Here is an 11,336-nt window from a genome sequence, read left to right on the forward strand (position 1 = left end):
AAGCCACAAGGGAGTGGCTGGAGGCAAGGTTGGAAAGGTAACTAAAGACACAGAAAGTTTTGCTCTGGTACACTAACAAACTGTGCATTCTCCTCTACAAGCAATATGAGTCTTTAGAGGTTTTGAGTAGGGAAGGGACATGTTGAGAGCTGTGTTTTAGAAAGATCATGCTGGCAGCAGTATGGAGGATGGAATGAAGTGGGCTGAGACTAGAGGCAGAGAGACCAGTTAAGCTATTGCTATTGCAACAGTCAAGGTCAAGAAGAGTTAAGAGGATTGAATTAAACCAGAGAGCAGTGATCATTGGAAAACACAAAAATAGATTCAAGAAACCTTTTGTATATGAGGTTGGGTCTTAAGAATCAACAGAAAGCATAACTCCGGTTTTAGATTCAGTGGCCAAATCCGTAAATGGACTGGCTGCACACAGCCAGTGTTTCTGGAAACAAGGCCTTGAGAATCTTTTTCCAGAGATATGGTGGAAGCATTTTAAAGCTTGTCATTTGCTAGTTCAGACCCTAAGGACTTAAAGAGTTAATGACATCTTCCTGGTTGACACCAGTATAATCTCAAATCTCACAATGGTTCATTAAACATTGGGTTTATAGTATGAAATCTTTTTAATGACTTGGGATAAGATTCATGCCATTTTTATAAGCAGAAATTTGGCTGAGGGGTGTTATAATAGGGAGAGTAAGACATAGACACGATCATTCCAGAATGTGGACCGTCTGGCGCTTAAAGCAGGGCCAGCAAGTTAACAACCACACTCTCTTTTTGCTCATAATATTTCTTTCTCATTTAGGTAAGTAACTGAGGTTTAGTTGCTTCACTACTTTCAAGAAGAACGAAATGATCTATTTATTCCAAAAACGGGATCTAAAAATGAAATTATAGTCCAGAACCAAGTATGAATATAGATTTCAGTTAAACTTGACCAGTTATTGGGTTCACTGGGGTCAAGTGAATTGGATGGGTGGCATGGACACTCTGTAAGAGGCAGTCTCTTACAAAGTGCAACAAAAATCAAAGATCTGGACTAAAGGTTTTGGTATATTGTCCACCATTGGCTTTGAGAGACTTTTTATGGATAATTGAGAGACATGTGCCATTTTACCACACACTCATATTTGTGATGGCCTGACAGACACCTCTTCTCTGGATGTGTCACTGACCTCTCAAAGACAACACCTTATCCTATTACACCAGGGGCCAACTCTTCCTCCAACCTCCCCATAGCGATTGCTGGCCTGTCATTTGTTGCCCTCGCCCATCTTGGATTTTTCCCTTCCCCATCATACATACGAGTCAGTTACCCAGTTACTCTATGATTTTTCCCTTCCCCATCATACATATGAGTCAGTTACCCAGTTACTCTATGAATTCTTCCTCATCTGTGACTCATTTGCCTTCCTACTGTCTCTACCTAGTTTTTATTCCTGATTCCTCTCCCCTAGATAATAGTTCTCTAGCAAGCTCTTAACCCTTCAATCTCCTCACATTCCTATCCACTAGGCATTCTACCACAAATTAACCTTAAATTATTTTCTAATTCTCTAATTTTTATACAAAGAGCAGAGCTTTAGAAAGTTCAAAAATAGTTTTATGTTTCATCTCTTCTACCAAATAAATTCTAGACCCCTAACTCAGATAGTTTAAAACCCTACAAATCTGACTCCATGTTTTGTAGGGCATTAAACCAACCAAGTCAATGGTCTAGAATTTATGGCCCTTCACCCTAAATGCCAGCCCAAGTTGCACCACTCCTCCTGAGTCAGACCTTACAATCCTTCTGTGGCCATGATCCTGTGCAAACTAATCCTCTGCCAAAAATACCTTTGCCCTCCCCACCCCTCAAAATCCGTGGTCTATTTCCATCATGTTACATTGAGTAAAAAAAACCCAGGAAACAAAAATGAATATGTGAGTACAATGGTAGAATCCTGCTTCTTCCTTCTTGCTTTCTCCATTTATCTACCCATCAATCTATCTGAAATAAAGAAAACTGGATTTTAAAAGATATACGCCAAGTTGTTAAAAGGAGATTTCTCTTGATGGCACAATTCTGAGTGTCTTTTTTCATTTTATTATCTAATTCTCTAATTTTTATACAAAGAACACATTTACTTTTATAGTAAGAAAAATTCTTCCTTGTTTTGGACAAACTGTGATAAAAAGAAAAAATTGTTAAAAAGTAAAAAAAAAGAAAAATGTGTATTAAGTTTTTAAACAATTATAATTTAAATTGAAAAAAAGTGTGTCCATCCTTCAAAGCTCTACTCACATGGAGAGCTGCTTTGCTAAACCTGTTTTTTTGAGATGGAGTTTCACTCTTGTTGCTCAGGCTGTAGTGCAATGGCACGGTCTTGGCTCACTGCAACCTCCACCTCCCAGGTTCAAGCGATTCTCCTGCCTCAGCCTCCCAAGTAGCTGGGATTACAAGCATGCGCCACCACACCCAGCTAATTTTTGTATTTTTAGTAGAGACAGGGTTTCACCATGTTGGCCAGGCTGATCTCAAACTCCTGACCTCAGGAGTTTGAGGTCCGCCCGCCTCAGCCTCCCAAAGTGCTAGGATTACAGGCATGAGTCATCACGCCTGGCCTAAACCTTTCTTGATGATTAAAGATGTGCTTAAATTCCCTTTCCTTCAACCTCCTTAGTAGCTTCACACACACACAAGTAGTAACTGTAATGTTGTTAAGACCACAGGCTTTGAAATCAGACACACACCATGTAAAATCACTTTCACTGTTGTTATGGGCTGAATTATGTTGCCCCAAAACTCGTATGTTGAAACCCTAACCTCCAAAACCGCAGAATATGACTATATTTGGAGCTAGGGGCTTTACAGAGGTAGTTAAGGTTAAATAAGGTCATTAGGCAGGCCCTAGTTCACTCTGACTGGTGTTCTTATAAGAAGAAATTTGAACACACGAGAGACATGAGGGATGTGCATGCACAGAGGGATGACCATGTGAAGAAGCAGCAAGAAGGCGGCCATCTCCAATCCAAAGAGAGAGGCCTCAGAAGGAAACCAACCCTGTCAGCACCTTGACTAAGCATTCTCTTAGGCCAAAACATTCTAAATTCCCACAACTCCCAGGTCGGCTCTTTGCTGCTCTACCCCAGTCAAAAGCAGCACCCTAGGACAATAGTGTGCACCCCCTTGCTCCATCCTCCCTGAGCCTCTGTGTTAGAAATCAGTTCTCCCCAAATACATAGTTAACATAACCCATTTTTTGCTATTATTTTCACAGAAAGTTAACTTCCGAAAGCCGGAACATTTTTATGAGTATCTAATAAGCCACTTCCAAATTGCATTTAGCTGAAATTGAAAGTACAATCCAATTTATTTAAACAGAATTTCTTACGAATGTACTTGAAGAGAAGGCCAGTAAAATAGGGCTGGAAGAATTTCCCTTGGATCCATTATGCTTCCCTTTGCCTACCCAGAAGTCAGGAACTTTTGAGTATTAAGGACAGAATGTTCAGCATTCTAATAATTAACTGAACATAATCTGGAAATGAAAAAGCGGGGGAAATTTTTTTTAAACTCTCTCGGAAAACAGAAATAGTGCACTTAGATCCTTCAGCACAGATTCACAGCTGAACTGCAGTTACCTGCATATACTCGGCTAAAAAAGAAAAAAATTAAAGACCATGTACTAAAGCATTTTCTATTAATTACAGCATTTAGAAGATACGTATCCCCTATTTTAAAATTTAAACCTATTTTTCATTTTTATTAATCTATTTGGGGGTTTTTGGTTTCCTAACATGGATGATGTGGCAACATGTAGCTTAACTCTTACATTGCCAGTTATTTTTGTTTCTCTCGATTCTTTTCTTCAAAATCTTATGTCTTTTCCATCATTTGGGAAGTTCTATCAATAACTTTATAGTTGAGCCTGGTGCGGTGGCTTACACCTATAATCCCAACACATTGGGAGGCCAAGGTGGGAGGATTGCTTTGAGCCCTGGAGTTTGAGACCAGTCTGAGTAACACAGTGAGACCCTGTCTCTAAAAAATATACAAAAATTAGCCAGGCATGGTGGCACATGGCTGTAGTCCCAGCTATTCAGGGGGCTGAGGTGGGAGGATCACTTGAGCCCAAGAAGGTCGAGGTTGCAGTGAGCTGTGATGGCACCACTGCACTCCACCCTGGGAGAGAGAGACCCTGTCTCAAAATAACAACAAACAAACAACAGCAAGAAAAAACAGTTAGATATTCTTTAAATATTTTCTTAAAAACTAAATTTTGAGAAGACATAGATGTACCTAAGTTATAAGCATAATAAAGAGTCTTAGTGTTTTCATAGGGAAGAAAAGCCAACATGATAGTGTAGAGACAGTGAAGGCTGGGACCCCTGCACTTAGGGCTCCCTGGATTAAAGCCTGTGACAGAGCAATTCTCATCTTTAAAGTTCCCTAATGACTAATGTGGATTTTAGTAATTATTTAAGGGCCCCGTAAGGAGTGTAAGAAAGATAAAACCCTAATTCCAAGACTGAAATTAAATGGGTATCATTTCATGAGGAATTTGAAAAAGCTCTTTGAAAGTATGCGAATGTAATATGGAGGTATTGAATTTCTTCCCTGTGACTATTTCATTATATTAAACAATCCATAAAAACTGTAAGTAATGGCAGAGATGAGACTACTGATTTTTCTCGCTTGATTTGTCCTGAGTTCGCGTTAACTGAGCATAAGAAACTCCCGTTCCCTGAATTGGGCACTGCCATGCAGAAAGTTTTACTGCAGCAGTTGAAGAGGAGTTTTAACACGTTGCACAGACGTCCAGTCTCTGGGACTGCTGAACTGTAATAAACTACACCATTAAGTGAAACATTGGATGGAGAAGCTGGCTCATTGGGTCGGCGGTTACAGTTATAAGTAGCTCCTTGGGATGCTAATAGATTAAGACGAGTGGTTTAAACTTCCAAGACAGACCTCCCGCTTTAGTAAACAGCAGAGTAACAGACTTACATAATACCTCAGGCAGTGTGCATTCTGGTATAGGCCCAGCCTCTAATTGTGTGACCTTGGACAGCTAATTTTGCTTCCCTAGACACCCCAGTCCCTTCATCTGAAAATAAGAACGTATCATGGGATCATCTCAAGTGTATCTAGAGCTCTACTGTTCTAGGATTCAACGACTGGTAAATCTACAAATATAATATTACATGATCAGGATTAAATGAACTCTAATGGGCAAAATGCATGATGTAGTCATCCAAATGCTAATATTGTAATGTGGATAGAAAGAACAGATTTTAAGTTCACCAAAAATGAAATCAAAATGGACCAGACATATTAATAGGAGCTCAACTTCATTTGTAATTTTAAAATGCAAATAAATACAATGAAATACCATTTTCACCTATCAGATTAGCAACAATGTAAAGTTTAAAGATATTCAGTGGTGACTGAGTGTGGGGAAACTGGTACTTTTAATGCTGTTTATATGAATGGAAATTGGTGGTCTTCTCAAAGGTCAACTTGTTAATATGTATCCAAAGTTAAAATACAGTCACGCTCACATAACAACGAGGATATGTCTGAGAGATACATCCTTGTGCGATTTCATCATTGTATGAACATCATAGTGTACTTACACAAGTCTAAATGATACAGCTTATTATATATTATATACATATAGGCTGTATTGTATAACTTATTCCTCTTAGGCTACAGACCTGTGCAGCATGTTACTGTATTAATATTGCAGGCAATTATAAGTATTTGTATATCTAAAAATAGAAAATATACAGTAAAAAATACAGTGTAAAAGATTAAAAATGGAGGCCGGGAGCAGTGGCTCATGCCTGTAATCCCAGCACTTTGGGAGGCCAAGGCAGGTGGATCACCTGAGGTCAGGAGTTCAAGACCAGCCTGGCCAACATGATGAAACCCCATTTCTACTAAAAATACAAAAATTAGCCAGGCATGTTGGCGCTTGCCTGTAATCCCAGCTACTCGGAAGGCTGAAGCAGGAGAATCACTTGAATCCAGGAGGCTGAGGTTACAGTGAGCCAAGATCGCGCCATTGCACTCCAGCCTGGGTGACACAGTGAGACTCCATCTAAATTAAAAAAAAAAAATTAAAAATGGTACGTCTGTATAGCATAGGGCACTTATCAGGAGTGGAGCTTGCAGGACTAGAAGTTACTCAGGGTGAGTCAATGAGTGAGTGATGAGTGAATGTGAAGGCCTAGGACATTACTGTACACTGCTGTACGTTTTATAAACACTGTATACTTACGTTACACTAAATTGATTTTTTAAATGTTCTTTCTTCGATAATAAATTAACCTTAGCTTACTATCACTTTTACTTCATAAATTTTACTTTTTTTCAAACATTTGACTCTTTGTAATAACACTTAGCTTAAAACACAAATTATACAGCTATACAAAAATATTTTCTTTCTCTATATCTTTATTCTATATACTTTTTTCTGTTTCTAGAAATTTTAAGTATTTTTTACTTCTTAAACTTTTTGTTGTTTTGTTTTGTTTTAGCTACAGGGTCTGCTCTGTCATCCAGGCTGGAATGCAAGTGGCACAATCAAGGCTCACTGTAACCTCAAACTCCAAGGCTCAAGCAATCCTCTCACCTCAGCCTCCCAAGTAGCTAAGACTACAGTCATGAGCCACCATGCCTGCTTGATTTTTTAAAAAAAAATTTTGTAAAGACAGAGTCTCACCTTGTTGCCCAGGCTGGTTTGAGCTGCTGTCCTCAAGCGATCCTCCTGCCTCAGCCTCCAAAAGTGCTGGGATTACAGGCGTGAGCCACCATGCCTGGCCAAATTTTTTGTTTAAAAACGAATACACCAACACACACATTAGCCTATGCCAACACAGGGTGAGGATCATCAATATCACCGTCTTCCACCTTTATGTCTTATCCTACTAGATGAATTTCAGCAGGCAGTAACACAACACGGAGCTGTTGTCTCCTACGATAACAATGTCTTCTTCTGGATGCCTCCTGAAGGACCGATCTGAGACTGTTCTTAAGGAGGTATCACTCTTTTCAGAAAGATGCTCATGGTGGTTTGTTTCTTTTTTCATGTTAGATTTGTGTGAGTCTATCATGGGCTACATTATGAAGGCTGTGACTTCACCCAGCAATAGGAATATTTTTAGCTCCATTACAATCTTGTGGGATCACCCTTGTATATGAGGATTGTCATTGACCAAAACATTGTTACGCAGCGCATGATGGCAACATATCCTTGAACACAAAATTTCACTTCTGGGAATTTAGCTTATGGATATACTTGCAAAAGCACACTAAGCTATGTGTACATTCCTGTACATTTTCAAAGAGAAAGTTTATATCATTTTGGTCATGTTAAAGACTTGGGACCGGTGGTTATATTCCTGTACACATAGCATAGTGTGCTTTTGCAAGTATATCCATAAACTGACAGGACAGAATTGTTTGAAAAACAACCATGAATATAACATAAATGCTCATTAACAGAAAAGTGGTTAAATAAATTATAGTATATCATTTTATGAAAAATTTTTTTTTTTTTGAGACAGAGTCTTGCTCTGTCACCCAGGCTGGAGTGCAGTGGCGCGATCTCAGCTCATTGCAACCTCTGCCTCCCAAATTCAAGGGATTTTTGTGTCTCATCCTTCTGAGTAGCTGGGATTATAGGCATGCACCGCCATGTCTGGCTAATTTTTCTTTTCTGACGGCGTCTCGCTCTGTCGCCCAGGCTGGAGTGCAGTGGCGCGATCTCAGCTCACTGCAAGCTCCGCCTCCCGGGTTCACGCCATTCTCCTGCCTCAGCAACCTGACTAGCTGGGACTACAGGCGCCCGCCACCACCCCCGGCTAATTTTTCGTATTTTTAGTAGAGACGGGTTTTCTCCCTGTTAGCCAGGATGGTCTAGATCTTCTGACCTCGTGATCTGCCCACCTCGGCCTCCCAAAGTGCTGGGATTACAGCTGTGAGCCACTGCACCCGGCCTAATTTTTGTATTTTTAATAGAGACAGGGTTTCACCATGTTGGCCAGGGTGGTCTCAAATTCCTGGCCTCAAGTGATCCACCCGCATCAGCCTCCCAGAGTGTTGGGATTACAGGCGTGAGCCACCGTGCCTGGCCCATTTTATGGGATATTATGCAGCTGTTTTTTTGTTTTGTTTTGTTTTTTAACTTTGTGTGCTGATAGGGAACGATGCCAAGAATATTATTAAGTGAAAACTCATGTGGGAGAGCAATATGCATAATATGATACAACTTGTGAAAAAAAAAGAAAAGAAAAGAAAAGAAAGAAAGGAAGAAAAAGGCCAGTCTGCGCCCCGGACCGACTCTCCTTCCGTCGGAACGACCCTCCTTCCGCCGGAGCCGCGTGGCCTCATGGAAGGCATGGAGGACGCCGGAGAGGAGGCCGGAGAGGACGCCGGAGAGGACGCCAGAGAGGGTGCCGCAGCGCCGGCAGCCAGGGTGCACTTCCGCGTGGCGAGGTTCATCATGGAGGCAGGTGTCAAGCTAGGGATGCAGTCCATTCCCATTGCCACTGCTTGCACCATTTACCCTAAGTTCTTCTGCGAGACCATCCTGGACGCCTTTGACCCTTACCTGATTGCCATGTCTTCCATTTACTTGGCCGGCAAAGTGGAAGAGCAGCCCCTGTGGGCTCATGACATCATCAGTGTGTCCAACAGGTACTTCAACCCAAGCAGTGAGCCCCTGGGATTGGACTCCCGCCTCTGGGAGCTCCGGGACAGCATTGTGCAGCGTGAGCTTCTCATGCTGAGAGTTCTGCGCTTCCAGGTCTCCTTCCAGCATCCACACAAGTACCTGCTCTACTACCTGGTTTCCCTCAAGAACTGGCTGAACTGCCACAGCTGGCAGCGGACCCCCGTTGCCGTCACTGCCTGGGCCCTGCTGCGGGACAGCTACCACGGGGGGCTGTGCCTCCGCTTCCAGGCCCAGCACATAGCTGTGGTGGTGCTCTACCTGGCCCTGCAGGTCTATGGAGTCGAGGTGCCCGCCGAGGTCGAGGCTGAGAAGCTGTGGTGGCAGGCGTTTAGTGACGACCTTACCAAGCCAATCATTGATACTATTGTGTCTGATCTCATTCAGATTTATACCATAGACACAGAGATCCCCTAAGGCCCTGGCCCAGGCCTGCCCAAAGAGAAGCCCAGGATGGTCAGCTGCCTGGGGACATTGCCACCACATCGCTATGATGGCTGGTCCCCAGAGGACCAGCTGGGAGGACTGGTTGTGCTGCTGGAGAAGGGCTGGTGAAGGCGATGACATGCTGCCGCTTTGACAGTCCCTAGCAGTCACGGTCCAGATGATGATGGTAGCTGTGCCTCCAGCGGGCAGGCCGGGAGCACACTGGGTGCAGCTGACCCAAAGGAGCCACATCTGCTTTTGTCCTTTGAGAGGACTCTGACTACAATAGAGGCATGATGCCAATAAAAGGAAAATCATGTTATCGATGACACTGAATCCCTAGGGATTTTTTTTAAGCCAGATTTATAGCGAGAATGAATGTGCAATGTGGCTGAAATCTATTTTGTGTAAAAAAAGGTGATGCAAGTCAAAAAAAAAAAAAAGAAAGAAAGAAAAAAAGAAAAAGGCCAGGCGCGGTGGCTCATGCCTGTAATCCCAGCACTTGGGGAGCCGGAGGCGGGTGGATTACCTGAGGTCAGGAGTTCGGACCAGCCTAGCCAGCATGGTGAAACCCTGTCTCTACTAAAAATACAAAAATTAGCGGGGAATGGTGGCACATGTCTGTAATCCCAGCTACTAAGGGGGCTGAGGATGGATGGATGGATGGATGGATGGATGGATGGATGGATGGATGATTGTTTTCAAAGAGAAATTTTCTAGAACTATTTACCATTTTGGTCATTTAAAGACTTGGGACTGGTGGTTAGAGGATGGGGGACACATCTTTTGTTTCTCATTTGATTATACTTTCTATTTGAATTTTTTTTACCATGATCATTTACATGAATAACCACATGCACTCTGATGCCTTGCGGGGGGGATGTTAGCCCTGAGGCCAGTCTGGACCCTGGCTGCCAGTGTGGCATACAGGAGATGATGGGACTCTGTGAACACAAGCACCACTGTGGTTTGAGTATGTCCCTCAGAGTGCATGTGCTGGAAATGTGGTCCCCAGTGTGGCAGTTGGAAAGGTAGGGACTTTAAGAGGTGATTAGGTCATTAAGAGGAATTAATGCTACTCTCCAGGGAATGCGTTATTTCTCATGAGAGTAAGTGAGCTCTCACTCTCTTTCAGGACTGGATTAGTTATCTCAAGAGCACGTTGTTATAAAGTGAAATAGTCCCTATGTTCTGCCTCTGACTTCTTCCTTTCTGCCATGTGGTATGCTAATGCTGTGCTCTTGGACTTTACAGCCTCCAGAACTATGAGCCCAGTAAACTCTCCTTTATAAATTACCTAGTCTCAGGCATTCTGTTATAGCAACAGAAAACACACTAAGACCTCCCTTCTGGTGCACACCTTTTATTTTTTCCCTTCCCAGTATTCCTTTCCCCTTCTTTTAGTAACAGGACCCATTTTCCTTTCTGCAACTGCTTTTCTTCCACCTCTCAGTCCATGTTTCAGGTTGGGAACTGGACTTTGACCCCCAGTTCCAAAGGTGGGCCTTGACCTTGGGCTGGCCAGGGCACCACAGAACTATCACAATGGCTTCAAGGAGGGGCACTGGCTCAAGCATGACCAATAAGAACATCCTCCAGTACTTCAGCTAGTGCTCCTGGACCAAGGCTCTCCCCTTCCCTCTAAGTGCGGGAGTACTAGAACAAATGTCTGGAACTGCTTTGACCATTGTTGCCACGACTGGGTGGATATTTTCCTGAAAATAAAGCAAAACAGAGGAAAGCAGAGCTTATGTGATGAGAGACAGATTCCTGTGGACACAGAGCACCTGGATCCAGCCATGCAGAACCCTTCTTAATTGCTTTTCTGTTATCTTAAACTTTATATGAGCTAATAAATTCTCATTTTTCCTTGAGCTGGTTTGAATTATTCTATTAATTTCATCCAAGAGTCTCTATAAATGTAAGCACCTTAGTAATTTCTTCAACAGCCAGCAGAGCCCATAGTGCCTTTTTAAGCCTTTGCCCAACGGTGTGGACTCCCAAGCAGCAGCACTTACCGTAAATATTTTTCATCATTTTGCTTGTGGTTTCCTTATGCTCCCACCCAGTCCTAGTACAGGGTCGAGCAGAGAGCAGAAACTCCTTGAAATGTTTGTTGCATGGGGCAATCATTCTAATTTTCAATATCCTAACATTGCCTCTGTGTAAGACACAAATATGTCTTAAATA

General features: G+C 42.5%; 1 pseudogene; it reads left to right on the forward strand.

Annotated features, from left to right (window-relative positions):
- On the forward strand, positions 8,347–9,577 carry CCNQP1 (CCNQ pseudogene 1; annotated as a pseudogene).

Source organism: Homo sapiens, chromosome 1, assembly GCF_000001405.40.
Source record: "Homo sapiens chromosome 1, GRCh38.p14 Primary Assembly".
Taxonomy (NCBI): Eukaryota; Metazoa; Chordata; class Mammalia; order Primates; family Hominidae; genus Homo; species Homo sapiens.